General features: G+C 42.8%; 1 protein-coding gene across 3 annotated transcripts in view; it reads right to left on the bottom strand.

Annotated features, from left to right (window-relative positions):
* Positions 1-16,730, bottom strand: part of TMC2 (transmembrane channel like 2) — a 107,008-nt gene that overhangs the window by 66,455 nt on the left and 23,823 nt on the right. For all 3 annotated transcript variants that reach the window (XR_001754152.2, NM_080751.3, XM_005260660.5), the window contains 2 exons: positions 15,116-15,268; positions 4,857-4,947 (listed from right to left, as the gene is read on the bottom strand). Coding sequence is in view for 2 of the 3 variants with exons in the window: in NM_080751.3 (NP_542789.2) it covers positions 4,857-4,947; positions 15,116-15,268 (244 nt within the window). In the remaining variant the exon portion in view is untranslated. The remainder of the gene's footprint in view (positions 1-4,856; positions 4,948-15,115; positions 15,269-16,730) is intronic.

The raw sequence follows: 16,730 nt of genomic DNA, 5'->3' as shown, positions 1-16,730 counted from the left end.
GACCAGCCTGGCCAACATGGTCAAACCCTGTCTCTACTAAAAATACAATACTTAGCTGGGCGTGGTGGCAGGCACCTGTAATCCCAGCTATTCAGGAGGCTGAGGCAGGGGAGTCACTTAACCCAGGAGGCGGAGGTTGCAGTGAGCCAAGATCACACCACTGCACTCCAGCCAGGGTGACAGAGCGAGACTCCATCTCAAAAAAAAAAAAACAAAAAAAAAAAACCAAGAAGAAACCCCAAACCCAAAAATACTCTTTGACTATTTGGCTTCCTAGGTAGGTCTGCCTATAAAGAGAGCATTTGCCTTGAGTACTTTGGTTTCTATGGCAGTGACTTTCACTGCAAATTCACAGATAGGAATTGGGATGATGGTTTAGCTTCTCGTATTACTAACTCAGCTATCAAAAATAAAAGGCATGACTGCTGTGGACTTCAAATTTTCCATCTTGCATCACTTATTTCTTCTTGTAAGTTAATAATCCAGCATCTGGTTTCATGTAGCAGTCTCATAAGCTTTATTAATGCGAGTCCTCCCTCGAGAGATGGATCCCCTGTCAGGGTGCTGATAAAATCAGTATAAAATATAGGCTTGCAAGGCTGAGGACCAGCAGGGGTAATGAACATTGCCAAGTGAGGTCCCTGGAGGCACAGCCTGCCGGTCGGTTCCTTGGCAACCACCTGACAGCCCCTCAAGGCTGTGGATATCTCGGACTGAAAAGTGAGGCCCCAGAACTGGAGCAGAGGCAGAGAGAGGCCTGGGAGATGCTCTGGCATGGATTCTCTTATCCTTCATTGGTTGACAGAGTCAGAAAACTGGACTGGGGCATGGGCAGAAGATTCCAAGCCCCTTTCTCAGGCCTGTGTGAGGTGGTTGCTGCTGGTCCTAGGATGGGTTGTTAGTTGTCATGCTGTCTTGCCCTCCAGCTATACATAGGAAAAAAGTTTCAAGTCATGGTGGAGCAAGACACAGGCAAGCTACATGTCCTGTCAATAAAATCAGGATCTGGGTGACTAAAATGAAAACAACCAGTGAGGCCTGGGAAATATTATTGCAGAACAGGGAAAAAGGGACACCATTCTTTGATATTTGTGGAAAACATTTCCTCCAAGATACATACATAAATTCTAGAAAGCAGGTCAGCATTCCTAATAGGATGCAATAAATATGGCTTCTAAAGTAAAGGATATCAATTTGAAAAGAATACAGATGAGATATGGAAGGATTACAAGGAAGCTAAGAGCTTAGTAATTGAATGAAAAAAACATTAGACAAAATAAAGACTATAATTGACACAGAGGAAAATGGATTCCATGATATTGAGAATAAACCTGATAAATTTCTGAGATTGCAAAGAGAAAGAAGCAAAGAGCTAAAAAATAACGTGGAAAAGTAAATATGGGGGATGGGGGTGGGGGGAGGCAATCCTTTTCCTAAGGGGGAAGCTAGAACTATGTGAACAGAAACATGGTTTAACAGAATCATTTATCAAAGATGTATTTGTCTAGAGACCTGCTGTACAACACAATGTTTACACTTAACAACATGGTATTGTGTACTTAATTAGTTAAAAAGCTAAATCTCAAGTGTTCTTACTGCAATAAAAAAGCAGTGAATACAAATTAAAGAAAGAATAATAACCTATTTTTTTACCCAATAGATTAGCACAAAGTTAAAAAGACGGTAACATTCATAACTAGTGAAGATAAGCCATTCTCCGACTTTGTTCCTTTGAGTGTGAGTTGCTATAGATTGGGGAAAATAGTTTGAAAAATGTGTAGTAAAAGTTAAAGTTAAAATATGCACACTTTTGAACTAGCAGTACTATTTGAGGGACTGTCTTATTGTGATTTTAAAAAACACATGGATCCAAGATAAATGTAAAAGGTGTTTGTTGAAGCATTGTTTGTCACAGTAAAAATCTAGAAAAAAAATATACTTGAACAGCACATTCTTCATTGGAAAAAATAAGATGTGAGTGTGCAGTTGGTAAGTGGTAAATAGTCTCTAGACAAAATTAATAAAATGACCTATAGAGAGTTGTCTGGCAAGTATAACTGGAAAATGAGAAAAAATAATATTAGGAATAAGAAAGATTGAGTCCGGGCATGGTGGCTTACTCCTGTAATCCCAGCACTTTGGGAGGCTGAGGCAGGAGGATCACCTGAGGTCAGGATTTCGAGACCAGCCTGGCCAACATGGTGAAACATCGCATCTACTAAAAATACAAAAATTAGCCGGGTATGGTGGCGCATGCCCATAATCCCAGCTACTTGGGAGGCTGAGGCAGGAGAATTGCTTGAACCTGGGAGGCAGAGGTTGTAGTGAGCCGAGATCATGCTGCTGCACTCTAGCCTGGGCGACAGAGAAAAAAAAACAAAAAAACAAAGGAATAAGAAAGATTCAAACCCAACAGATATAAAAAGTAATTACAAATTTATGGGGCTACCATATGCGACTTTCTGTTAACACATATGAAAATTTTAATGAAATGATCAAGTTTCAGGAAGAATATGAATTATTGAAATGGTCTCAAGAAAAAGTTAAAACTTGAGTACATCAATAAACTGAATACTTGAAAAAAATTTCAAGGTATTCTATAAAAATGGCTCTCGATCTCTACTATTGAAAGGTTATCATCTTTAAAATTAACAAAAAGTGTATTATCATGCTCCCAAAACTGATTTACAGCATAAAGAGGAGGTAACGCTATTCATTTACAATTATAATGCAAGTGCAGTCCTAATGTTAAAATCTGCCAAGATACTGCACATGCATACACTTGTGTACAAACACACACAAATTCATATCAATCTTATGAAAATGTATGTAAAAATCATAAATAAAATATCGGAAAATCAAACGTGTCTGTGGAATTAAAAGTAATGTACCGTGACTGAGGTTATCCCAGAAATAAAAAAAAATTAATAACATAAAGGAAAAGGTGTTTAATAAAACCTAATTATCTATTTCCAATGAAATGGAAGTCTTACTAAACAACAACTAGACAATAATTTTTACGGTGACAAAGAAAATCTATTTCAAGCCATCAACTCCCATCAGCTTAGTGTGAAAGTCATTAGAGTCATTCTCATTAAAGTGATGCAAAGATAAGGAGAGCTATGATCACCATTATCAATTGATGCTGTTCTAGGATGGCTAGTTCACATTTTAGAATTGGAATGAGATGTCACATTTAGGAGAACCCAACAAAAACATCTTTATGAACATAATCAGATGAAAAAGATTAGAATTAATAAGAGAGAGGCCGGGCGTGGTGGCTCACGCCTGTAATCCCAGCACTTTGGGAGGCCGAGGCGGGCGGATCACGAGGTCAGGAGATCGAGACCATCCTGGCTAACACGGTGAAACCCCGTCTCTACTAAAAACACAAAAAATTAGCCGGGCGTGGTGGCGGGCGCCTGTAGTCCCAGGTACTCGGGAGGCTGAGGCAGGAGAATGGCGTGAACCCGGGAGGCAGAGCTCGCAGTGAGCCGAGGTCGCGCCACCGCATTCCAGCTTGGGCAACAGAGTGAGACTCCGTCTCAAAAAAAAAAAAAAAAAGAAAAGAAAAGAAAAAAAAAAGAATTAATAAGAGAGTACCATAAGAGAACCAGATATAAAATTAGCACAAAAATTTGTAGCTTTCTTACATACTACCAATAACTAGTTATTAAATAATTGAAAAATGATCGCATTTGCAAAAGCAACTAGGCTATCAAATGTGCAGAAATAAAACATGGAAAAGATCTATAGGGAGAAAATGACAAACTTTGCTTAAGGATATAATATGGGCTTGAGAAATGTATGGTATCCTAGATGTGAAAACTAAATATTGTATAGATAAGGAAGTCCCAAATTAAATACAGGATTAAAAGAAATTCCAACCAAAATCTCAATACACTATGGTGGAACTTGGCAAAGGGATTTTTAAAAATGCATGTAGAAACATGGGCAAGACAGCCAAGACATTTTTTTATTTTTTAAAAACAAAGTTTTATCAGGGTGTGGTGGAGTGCACCTGTAGTCCTAGCTACTCAGGAGGCTGAGGCTGAGGCTGGAGGATCTCTTGAGGCCAGGAGTTCAAGGCTGCAGTGAGCTCTTGAGCCAAGGAGTTCAAGGCTGCCACTAAGGCTGGAGTGGTGACGCTGCACTCCAGCCTTAGTGGCAGAGTGAGACTCTGTTTCTAAAAACAAACAAACAAAAAACCAAAGGTAAAAAGGGGAACCTAGAACTACCAGGCATTTGATGTCATTGAGGTAATGACATCAAATGATTGTTCAGAATAAAAGCCCTGAAACAGGCTCTGTACAAGAATTAAGTGAATGAGAATGGTAGTTTTTCAAATCAGTGGGTAAAGGAAGGATACTTCAGTAAGTCTCACTTTAAATATCCAACATGAAACATTACCCTAACTTAAATCAGATGCCCAGGTTATGATACAACTCAACAAAACAGAGCTGCCCCCATCCGTCTGGGGACATCGCTGTTTATCATCCACGTGACCCTGATCACACCACAGCCCTTCTGGGTCTCCACCAACTCAACCTGTCCTGATTTGGGGTTTGGAAAATAAAATCCCAGTGGTTTTAACATCATTAGTTCTCTAAGTGTATTCACTGGAGAGAAGACAAGTCTCAAATGTATTGAAGCCCTCACAGTAAGTATGGAGAAATTGGCAGGATACGATTGGTTTCCATGCCTAGATGGATCAGAATGGTCAGGTGGCCCTCACACCCAGGATTCTGGGGGCAGCTGGACACAAATGGCGAAGCTGGGCAGTTGCCGAAGTTGGTCGCCAGATTCCAAAGCTGAGCAAGCCCTCCCAACAGATTCACTGCCCCCACCCCACACACCTTGGCCATCAGCATCTTGTAGGCATATAGTTGCTTGCCTTTCCCCTTTCCCAAGGCACCTTCATACTTCTCCACAAATTCCTGGGCCTCCCTGCTTAGAAAAAAAAAAAAAAGCAGGATTTCAGTTAGCACCTAACCAGAGGAAATCTGAATTATGAAGCCTCAAACACATGTGTGAAGGCTTATGTCTTTGTATACCCCTGGTTAAAATATAAATTCCATGAAGGCACGACATTCTGTCTGTTTTATCCACTGAAGTTTCCCAAATGCTGAGAAGAGTGCGAGGTACATAACAGGCATGGTAGGCAGAACTGTGGCCCCTGTGACCTTCGTCTGGTGGTGTTCCACCCATGAATATAATATGTTACATGGCAAAAAGGACTTTTAAAATGTAGTTAAGATTACTGATTTTATTTTATTTATTTATTTATTTTTAGAGATAGGGTCTCACTGTGTTGCTCAGGCTGCTCTTGACCTCCTGAGCTCAAGCAGTCACCTGCCTCGGCCTCCCAAAGTGCTGGGATTACAGGTGTGAACCACCATGCCCGGCCAAGATTATTGATTTTAAAATAAGGAGATTATTCTGGGTCATCTGCATGGCCCCAGTGTAATAAAATAATATGAGCCCTTAAAAACAGAAGAGAAGTTTCTTAAGAAATCTCCAAATTGCTTTCCACGATGGTTGAACTAATTTACATTCCCACCAACAATGTATAAGTGTTTTTTGTTTGTTTGTTTGTTTGTTTTTCCGCACCCTTACCAGCATCTGTTAGGTTTTGACTTTTTAATAATAGCCATTCTGACTGGTGGAAGATGGTGTGTCATTGTGGTTTTGATTTGCATTTTTCTGATAATTAGTGATGATGAGAATTTTCTCATATGTTTGTTGGAGGCTTGTATGTCTTCTTTTGAGAAGTGTTTGTTCATATTCTTTGTCCACTTTTTAATGGAGTTATTTGTTTTTTGCTTGTTGAATTGTGTAAGTTCTTTACAGATTTTGGATATTAGACTTTTGTCAGATGCATAGTTTGAGAATATTTTCTCCATTCTGTAGGTTGTCTGTTTACTCTGCTGATAGTTTCTTTTGTTGTGCAGCAGCTTTGTAGTTTGATTAGGTCCCATGTGTCAATTTTTGTTTTTGTTGCAGTTGCTATTGAGGACTTAGTCGTAAATTCTTTCCCAAGGCCAATATCCAGAATGATATTTCCTAGGTTTTCTTCTAGGATTTTAATAATTTTAGGTCTTACATTCAAGTATTTAATCCATCTTGTGCTGATTTTTGTGTATGGTGAGAGGCGGGGGTCCAGTTTCACTCTTCTGCATATGTCTAGCCAGTTATCCCAGCACCATTTATTGAATAGGGAGTCCTTCCCCATTGCTTGTTTTTTGTTGATTTTATTGAAGATCAGATGGTTGTAGGTGGGCAGCTTTATTTCTGCATTCTCTATTCAGTTCCATTGGTCTATGTGTCTGTTTTTGTACCAGTACTGTGCTGTTTTCGTTACTGTAGCCTCATAGTATAGTTTGAAGTTGAGTAATGTGATGCCTCTGGCTTTATTCTTTTTGTTTAGGATAGCTTTGGCTGTTTGGGCTCATTTTTGGTTCCTGTGAATTTTAGAATCTTTTTTTCTATTTCTGTGAAAAATGACATTGGTAGTTTGGTAGAAATAGCATTGAATCTGTAGATTGCTTTCAGTAGTATGGGCATTTTAATGATATTGATTCTTCCAATCCATGAGCATGGATTTTTTTTTGGTATTACCTATGATTTCTTTAGTCATTGTATTGTAGTTCTCCTTGTAGAGATCTTTCACCTCCTTGGTTAGATGAATTCCAAGGTATTTTATTTTATTTTATTTTTGTGACTATTGTAAATGGGATTGTATTATTGATTTGGTTCTCTGCTTGAATGTTACTAGATCAAGAAATGCTCTTGATTTTTGTACATTTGTACATTGATTTTGTATCTTGAAACTTTGCTGAAGTCTTTTATCAATTCCAGGAGCCTTTTGGCAGAGTCTTTAGGGTTTTCTAGGTAGAGAATCATATAATCAGCAAAGAGAGATACTTTGACTTCTTTTCCTACTTTTATTTCCTTCTTTCCTGCCTTTCATTTTTCTCCTCTTGCCTGATTGCTCTGATTAAGACTTCCAGTACTATGTTGAATAGGAGAAGTGAGAATGGGCATTCTTGTCTTGTTCCAGTTCTTAAGGGAAATTCTTCCAGTTTTTGCCCATTCAGTATGAATTTCACTATGAGTTTCTCATAGATAACTTTTATTATTTTGAGGTATGTTCCTTCAATGCCTAGTTTGTTGGAGGCTTTTATCATGAAGGAATATTAGATTTTATCAAACGTGGAGCAGGAATATTCTTGACTCTCTGTGTCTGGGGCCCCTCTGGAGGGGCTACACAAAAAGCATAAGAAGGAAGTGAATTCAGCCAACAATCAGTGAGCTCAGAAGAGAACCTTAGCCCTGGGTGAGAACTGCAGCCCTACTGATACCATAATTTTGGTGTGATGAGACCCTGAACAGAGAATCCAGCCATGCCATGCTGGACTTCTGACCTACAGAACTGTGCACTAATTAACGAGTGGTATTTTAAATTCTTAACCTGTGGTAATTTGTTGCAATAGCAATATAAAATTAATACAGATGCTCCTTGATGTACAAGGGGTTATGTTCCAATAAACTTATTGTAAGTTGAAAACATCGTTAAGTTGAAAATGTACTTAATACCCCAAAAAGGCCATTAAGTAAAAAATTGTAAGTTGAACCATCATAAGCCCATATGCTCCTCAACTTATGATGCAGTATATCCAATAAACCCACTGTAAAGCTGAAAAATTATAAGTTGAACCATTGTAAGTCAGGCATCATTGGATAGGTATTTGTGGAACACATGGATGTTGACTGAGTGAGTGAATGAGCACCCTGTTAAAGTTGGATGAGAAACAAATGAATCAATTTGTCTATTAAATATTCTGCAGTGGTTGCTGGACCTGGTGAGGACAGCCTTTGAGAACAGATTGTTAAATCTTCAGGAACTTGGCCAACCAGTTGTTAAACTGTTAGTAGCTTTGAGTTGGCCATGGTGGGAGTATTTAGACCACGGAAATCAGCAAATACTATGACCAGGGCTCCTCCTCCTGTCCCACACCTCAGAAAGCTAGTTTATCAGCAACCACTAGATAAACCCAATCATGCGAGTGAAGAATGAAGTCCGTCTTAGGGCAGATGGAAGAAGGTGTTGTGGAGCTGTGTGTGTCTGGCTGCTATTGCTACAGTCACCACTGCTCCTACAAAATGCCTACCCCACTGTTCCTGCTGCCTCCAAGGTACAAGTGTGGACAGTTGATACGTGTGAAGTTGCATCCTAACCTTGAGGCTGGCTTTATTGGGATGTCTCAGTGTCTCAATGCTAGTGAGGCTGCCTGTCCTACTCCTAAACCCAGGGTCAAGAACTGGGCTGTATGTCCTCCTCAATGGGATCTTCTCCCTGTTCCCCCCCTTGGCAGGAGATGTCCTGCCAGTGACTTATCAGTGAACACCAATACCACTGCAACAACAAAGAATGGTTTCACAATATTCATATTTTTGTCTTCTTCCTGTATTTTACAAGTGGGCAAATACTCAAAAGCACTTGGAGTTCTATGAGCTTAAATGTGCCAGGTTTTAAGATTTAGCAGCTTCAGTTAACAATTCTCAAAAGTAGGGGCAGCTCTTGCGCCTGAGTCATTGAGCCCAGCAGCAAACGCTTCTCTTCTCTCTGTTCAGACTCTGTGTCCAGACATCCAGCAAACCCCCAAGAGAACAGGGGACCCTACCAAAGGCTAGTTGCAAACTATGAAGACCAGTCACTGTGAAGAGTCCACCTGGTTTATGAATTTCCATGGGCACAGCAAACTTTTTTTGAACTCTGTGAAGATATATAAATAATAACAAAGGCACAAAGGGCATGCCCTTCATGGTTTCTGATGAGAAGTTTCTTGTCATTATAATTGTGTTTTTTTCCCTGTAGGTGATGTTTTGTTTCTGTCTGACTGCCTACAAGTTTTTAGAAGTTTGACTATGATGTGTCTTGGAATGAATTTCTTTGCTTTGGGTTTATCCTGCTTGGGATTTGTTTTGCTTCTTGAATTTGTAAGTTTTGCCAAATCTGAGACAGTTTTAGCCATAATTTCTTTGAATACTTTTTCAGTCTCATCCTTTTTCTCCTCTTTTTCTGGAATTCCAACGATACTAATGTTATGTCTTTTATTATAGTCCCACACATCCTTGAAGTTCTGTGCATTTTCTTCCAGGCTATTTTCTCTCTATAGTTTAGATTGGGTAATTTCTCTTGTTCTATCTCCAAGTTCACTGAGTTTTTACTCTGTTCTCTTCATTCTGTTGTTGAGCCCACTCACTGAGTTTTAAAAATTTCAGTTATTGTATTTTTTTACTTCTAAAATTTCCAGTTGTTCCTCTTTATAGCTTCTATTTTTTTTCTGAGACTGTTTTTCTCATTTGTTTCATGTGTTCACAATTGCTCATTGAAGCATTTTTATGATGGTTGCTTTAAAACCTTTGTCGGGCAAGGTGTGGCTCATGTCTGTGATCCCAGTGTCTTGCGAGGCTGAGGTGGGAGGATTGCTTGAGCCAAGAGTTCGAGACCAGCCTGAGCAATATAGTGAGACCCTGTCTCTACAAAAATAAAAAATAAAAATAAATAAAATAAAACCTTTGTCAGACAATTCTAACATCTCTGTCATCTTGGTGTTAAAACCTGTTGATCATCTTTTGTCATTTAGTTTGAGGTCTTCCTGGTTCTTGGTATGGCAAGCGATTTTTAATTGAAACCTGGACTTTTGGATATTATAAGACTCTAGGTATTATTTAAATCTTATGTTTTACCAGGCCTCCTCTGACATTGCTATGGTAGTTGTAGGTAATGTTGCCTGATTACTTCCAGGTGGGGGTGAAAGTCCAGGTTCTTCATTTGGCCTCCTTTGACACCTGAGGCTGAGGAGAAGCTCCTTGTTACCGCTGAGCAGGGATGGGGTTCAGGCCTCCACTCAAGCCTGGTTACTTCCAAGTCATGGTGAGAGTCTAGACTCCCCACATGGTCCTCACCGAAACCATGGGGAAAAGGAGGGATCATTACTACCTGCTGGGGATGAAAATTCCTGCTTCCCACTCAGCCTCCTCTGGCACACCCTGGTTAGGGGTATTGGGGCACCTTGCTTTGGCCTGGCAAAGGTGGGTATCCAGGCTTCCCCACTTGCCTTTGCTGCCAGGGTTGGCAATGGGGGCTGTTGTTTTGTCTGTGGTATTTGGCTGGAGAACAGTTATTGTCCAAAAGTTTTCTGTCTTGCCAGTCTGTTTCTTCCCTGGTCCTTTGGCCAGAAATAGCAGATTTTTCTTGGGGCATTTTTTTTGGCTGCCTCCATTGGAGTTTTGGGGTTGCCAGCTTTTCCAATAGCCAGTCTGGGATATAGAAGGTAAAAAAGAAAATCCAAGGAACTCAATGCCCTGGTCATCCCTTTGGTCCTGAGGTTCTTAGCCAGTTTGCCTTCTTCTTTCTACCTTTTCAAATCTTCTTATATTTGCTTTAAATATGGCATTCAGGGTTTTCATTGTACTTAGTGGGAAGAATAGGGAAAAGCGTCTCTACTCCATCTACCTAGAAGCAGAAGTCCTCTAATCACTCTGAAGAAAGAAAGCAGTTTGGGTAGTTTTCTAAGATATCAGGCTTTGGACAAAGCTGAGAGACAGACCTGATTAATTCTATGATTAAAGCAAATATCCCTGATTCATGGGCACTAGAAGCTGTTATGCCAACTTCACATCCTACTGTGTATCATTATTGATGATGTCCACATGCTTCTCTGATTCATCTTTGTTCCCCAACCTCATCTCTCAGGGCTCAGCATAGTGTCAGGCATAAAAGATGTTCAAGCTTTAATAATAACAGTAATCGCTATTTTTTAATTGCATATTATATGCTGGGCACTTAATAAAAATATTTTGAAATTGTTTGAACAACCCTGTGAGGTAGATGTTATTATTCCCATTTTACAAGTGAGAATTATTAGGCTCAGAGAGGTTAAGGGAAGGAAGTGACCCTGAGAGGGATTGGGTAGCCAACCAAAGTCTCCAGATGTGGCAGAGGTGTGAATTCAGGTTTGCCCCAACTCACTGCTGTTGCTTTTTATGTCCAGCCAGCCTTTTGTTTTCATATGTTTTTTGGAGACAGAGTCTCACTTTGTCACCAAGGCTGGAGTGCAGCGGCATGATCTCGGCTCACTGCAACCTCCACTTCCTGGTTCAAAAAATTCTCCTACCTCAGCCACCAAGCAGCTGGGATTACAGGCACACACCACCACGCCCGGCTAACTTTTGTATTTTTAGTAGAGATGAGGTTCCACCATGTTGACCAGGCTGGTCTTGAACTCTTGACCTCAAGTGATCTGCCCGCCTCAGCCTCCCAAAGTGCTGGGATTATAGGTGTGAGCCACCACACCCAGCACTAGCAAGCCTTTTTAGATAGTCTACAGTAACCATGCTCAGGTCAGCCAGTGCCTGACTGGGCCAGAGAATGGGGCCCCCACACTACTATTTCTAAAAGAGAGGATGTAGTATGGGGATGCCGTCTGCAACTGGAGACTTTATTTTCAGAAGAAGAAATCATACTGGTAGCAAAGGGGTTGCGTTCTCGAATGTCTGGTAATTCTGGAGAGACGATTACAAATTAAGAGAGCAGGCTCTGTAATCCCAGCACTTTGGGAGGCCAAGGTGGGAATATCACTTGAGCCCAGGAGTTCGAGACCAGTCCCGGCAACATAGCGAGACCTTGTCTCTAAAACAACAACTACAACAAACAAAAAAACAGTGCAGGCTCTGGAGCCAGAATTCCTGAGTCCAAATCCTGGCTGCGCCACTTAACTTGCTGTGTGGCCTCAGTCTTCTCATCAGTAAAATGGTGACAATAATGGCAGTACCGACATCACAGGGTGATTGTGAGGATTCAGTGAATTGTTATACATACCACACTCAGAACAGTGCCTGGCACAAAGGGCATGCCCAGCAAAGACTGGCTGTATATAAAAAGGAATTGATAGTAAATGATGAAAAAGAGACAGCTCTGAAAACAAGAACAGCATCCAGTCAAGAGAGTGGACAGTGCCTTGGAATGAGAGGGACAGTAAATCAATCAGCCTGCTTGTGGGGAGGGGCAATGGGGACCTCCCTGCAGAGGAGGCACTTGGCCCGAGTCTTACAAGGTGTGTAGGAGTTAGCAAGGAGAGGTGGCAGAAAGCACAGATCTTCTAGGCAGAGGCACCAGCTCGGGTGGAGACTAGAGGCTGGAGAGACTTAAATCTGAGTCCAGGATAAGGAGCCTTGGGGAAGGGAAGAAGCTAGGAAGAGACAGGAGGGAGGTCCAGGGAAAGGAGACCCACTGTTTGCTGGGGAGGCCCACTCCAGTGAGAGAGGCATAGGTCTCCTTGGCTTCTCAGGCCTTAGCTTCTTCCTATCCTGCCAGCCCCAGGAACTCTGCCCCTCAGAGGCAGGAAGGAGATGTCAGATTTCTCCTCTGGCAGCTGAGGAGCCCTCAGGGATTGTCACGGTCCCTGAGACTTCCAGCCAGCTGGAGATCTCATTTCCATAGGCATCAAGGCTGCACTTTTTCCACTGTTAATAAAAGATGTGTTCTGGTGACACCTGAGTGGGAGTGAGGTTCTATTAGAGTGACAGATGGCTGTTCTGCCCTGCTGGCAGGAGAAGGAGCCCAGCTTGGAGGGAGCAGGGAGAAAGGATTCAAAAAGAGGAGGCTGAGGGCCGGGCGCGGTGGCTCATGCCTGTAATCTCAGCACTTTGGGAGGCCGAGGCGGGCGGATCATGAGGTCAGGAGATTGAGACCATCCTGGCTAACACGGTGAAACCCCGTCTGTACTAAAAATACAGAAAATTAGCTGGGCACGGTGGTGGGCGCCTGTAGTCCCAGCTACTCGGCAGGCTGAGGCAGGAGAATCGCTTGAACCTGGGAGGCGGAGGTTGCAGTGAGCCGAGATTGTGCCACTGCACTCCATCCTGGGCGACAGAGCGATACTCCATCTCAAAAAAAAAAAAAAAAAAGAGGAGGCTGAGAAGGAAGACAGTCCAGAGCTGAGTCTAGCTTCCACACTGTCGCCACTCACCACATGGGACTATTTAAATTTTTAAAATTAATTTGTTATTTTATTATTTAATTGACAAATGGGCCAGGTGTGGTGGCCCATACCTGTAATCACAATACTTGGGGAAGCTGAGGTGGGAGGATCGCTTGAGTCCAGGAGTTCGAGATCAGCCTGGGCAACATAGCGAGACCCTGTATCCACAAAAAAATTTAAAAATTAGCCAGGTATGGTGGCATATGCCTGTAGTCCCAGCCACTGGAGAGGTTGTGGCAGGCGGATCACTTGAGCCCAGGAATTCAAGGCCACAGTGAGTTAAAATGGTGGACTGGACTCCAGCGTGGGTGACAGAGCAAGACTCTGTCTCTTAAAAATAAATTGTATATATTTATGGTGTACATGCTGTTTTGATATATGCATACATTATGAATTGTCAAATCGAGTTAATTAACATACGCATTACCTCCCATACTTGTTTCTTGTATGTGGTGAGAACACTTATAATCTATTCTTAGCAATTTTCAGGTATCCAATATATTGTTATTAATTATAGTCACTATGCTATACATAAATTTAAGTTTAAATAAAAGCTAAAACAAAAAAATCAGTTTTTCGGTTACACTAATCTGTTTTAAGCACTCAGTAACCACACGTGGTAGTGGCTATATGTTACACAGTGCAGATTTTGACTGATTTCCATCATTGCAGAAAGCTCTGGTGCTCAGCAGCACTGGCCTAAAGCATAGGCCTGGAGGCACTACGAGGAGGTGTTTCTTCTTGCAGCCATATAGGAGATGACGTAATAATTTGCAGGGCCGTGGGGTAAGCTCTGTTTTCCTTGTCGGGGTCGGCCCAGTGTTGGTGTAGCTAGATCTTTACTGTGCCTGTTGGGGTAAATACTGCAAAAACATGGCTGCCAAATTGCTGTGCTTAATAAAGGGTGAGGAGTTTGAACGAGCAATGAGGAAGCTCATGTATGAGAGGAGCCAGGGAGCATGGGCTTCCTACAGAGGAAACGGGGGGAGTGCCACTCCCAACGCTGTGGCAAAAAAACAGAGGGACCTTGGGGAAAACGGTCATGTTGGATAGGAACTTTTTAGCAGAAACTCAAAAAGTATGTAATATGACTACTGCTGTTATTTCTTTTCTTTTCTTTCTTTTTTTTTTGATACAGAGTCTCCCTCTGTTGCCCAGGCTGGAGTTCAGTGGCATGATCTCGGCTCACTACAACCTCTGTCTCCTGGGTTCAAGCTATTCTCCTGCCTCAGCCTCCCGAGTAACTGGGACTACAGGTGCCCGCAACCACCCCCGGCTAATTTTTGTCTTTTTAGTAGAGACGGGGTTTCACCATGTTGTCCAGGCTGGTCTCAAACTCCTGACCTCAAGTGATCCACCTGCCTTGGCCTCCCAAAGTGCTGGGATTACAGGTGTGAGTCTACTGTTATTTTAAAACTGCAGCAAAGACCCCAGAATCATCAAATGCTCCGTGCATCAGCCTTTTGCATGGAAACCAAAGAAGTGGCTGAGTAGAAAACAGGAGTCGAGTGGCATGGGCAGGAGGCCTGTTGCCATTCACAGAGTGATATTCATGTTGCATGGGGGCCAGCTTGGCCTGGTGCCAGGCAATGGGGATGTGACAGTGGCTCAGGCAGACCCTCTCCCACTCACCGTGCAAATCACGCAAGCGAGAGTGTGTACACATGGAGAGACACTGGGTGCTCCAGGAACATGAGAGAGAGCTGCTCTTGAGGAGAAGGGGTCTAGAAAGCTTCCAGGAGAAGGCATGTCTCTGTTGGGCTGTGAGGGAGGCACAGAAGCCACGAGATGAAGTGTGGCATGGGATAAAAGGGGCAGCCAGGCAAGGGAAGGCATGGGCACAGGTCGGGAGTCCTCCGAGTCTTCCATGGCTCCCCCTCTAGGCCCTGTGGTGCTGGCGAACAGCACGGCCGCCTTGGCTCTCATGGGGCTCCCTGAGTGCTGTCCTCGCTGGAGCAGCCCCCTCACATCAAGCCCCTTTGGGGAAATGTGGAGGGAGGGCTCCCATTCCCATCAGAAGGAGCTGTGGACATCGGAAGGCCCTGGCTGACCCGCAGCCTGCTCACCTGAGCTCTGTCAGCTTCTTCGCCATGGGCCAGGGCTTGCTCCGCATGGTGGCAATGAGCTTCTTTTTTTCTTCCACCTGCTCCAGGATCTGGGCCAGTTCCTCCTCGGACAGGGACTCCCCACCAGAGGCACTGGAGGCCAAGGAGGATGACCTGGAGGCAGAGCCAGGGCGGAGGCAGAGGGAAGTTGGAAAGGAGGTGGTGTCCTCAGGTGCTGTGGAATGAGGAGGGGCCCATGGAAGATGGCACCCCTTCCCCTGCTCAGAAGCCATTAGTGACTCCCATTGCCTGGCAGCGGAGGCCAAAATTCTACCCTGTAGCCCAGGGCCCTGGAGGGCTGCCTCCCCATCCTCCATTTCTCTGAGTCCTCCCACAAACCACATGCCAGCTCAGTGTTCCCCAACAGAAATAGGACACAAGCCACTTACTGTAATGCAAATTTTTCTAGTAGCCACGTTGAAGTGGTAAAAAGCAATGGATTAAAGCAATTTTAATAATACAGTTTATTTACTCAAATATATTAAAAACTGGAATTTAACCTGTAATCAATATAAAATTATTAGAGATATTTCAGTCCTTTAAAAAATACTGTCTTCAAAGGTCACTGTTCATTTTGTACTCATACTGCAAGGCTATTCAGATGATAAACTTTCATCAGATATATTTAATTTGTATTTATATTTCATAAGTTTATAGGTGAAAAAAGTAGATTTGCCCAAATTGTTTTAGACATACTTAAAAGATTCCCAAGAACTGAATCAAGTAGCAGAATATGGTTTTCCTTTGATATTTGTATCTGCATTGACAACAGTAGTTTGTCTTTTTGTAGAAGAACTGTTTTGGCTTCAAAGTCAAATCAAATCAGTTTCAAAACTACATCTGTCCAAATTAAGTAAATTCACCAACTCTTATGTCAACTCAGTGGCATTAACACTGAGTTACAATTAAATGAGGAATTCAGTTGCTCAGTCACACTGGCCACATTTCAAGTGCTCAGCAGCCACATGCAGCTAGTGGCTGTCATATTGGACAGCAGGGCTGTGGAGAATTTCCAGCTGGGGAGCTCCCCATCTCCCAGATAATACTATGTGCTCAGTTGTCACAAAATCCAAGTGTCTGTGTGTGCTCCCTACAGCCTCCAGCCTATTCTGACTCCATTTTTTTTTTTTTTTTTGAGATGGAGTCTTGCTCTGTGGCCCAGGCTGGAGTGCAGTGGCGCAATCTCGGCTCACTGCAAGCTCCACCTCCTGGGTTCACGCCATTCTCCCACCTTAGCCTCCGGAGTAGCTGGCACTACAGGCACCCGCCACCACGCCTGGCTAATTTTTTGTATTTTTAGTAGAAATGGGGTTTCACCATGTTAGCCAGGATGATCTCGATCTCCTGACCTCGCGATCCACCCACCTCGGCCTCCCAAAGTGCTGGGATTACAGGCGTGAGCCACCACGCCCGGCCTCTGACTCCTTTAGTGATGAAAAATAGTGACTCTCAGCTGAGTGAGACAGCGCCCAATCGGGTAGGTAAAGGAAAGGACTAAGGAAGGGTTATGGCTGGGCAGCCTGAGTGTGTTTCATAAATGGTAGTATTAGGGTGTGGGCTTGGGTTACTGCAGGTT

Source organism: Homo sapiens, chromosome 20 (assembly GCF_000001405.40).
Source record: "Homo sapiens chromosome 20, GRCh38.p14 Primary Assembly".
Classification (NCBI taxonomy): domain Eukaryota; kingdom Metazoa; phylum Chordata; class Mammalia; order Primates; family Hominidae; genus Homo; species Homo sapiens.
The sequence above is the reverse complement of the archived record's forward strand: the minus strand, read 5'-3'. Positions and strand labels throughout refer to the sequence as shown.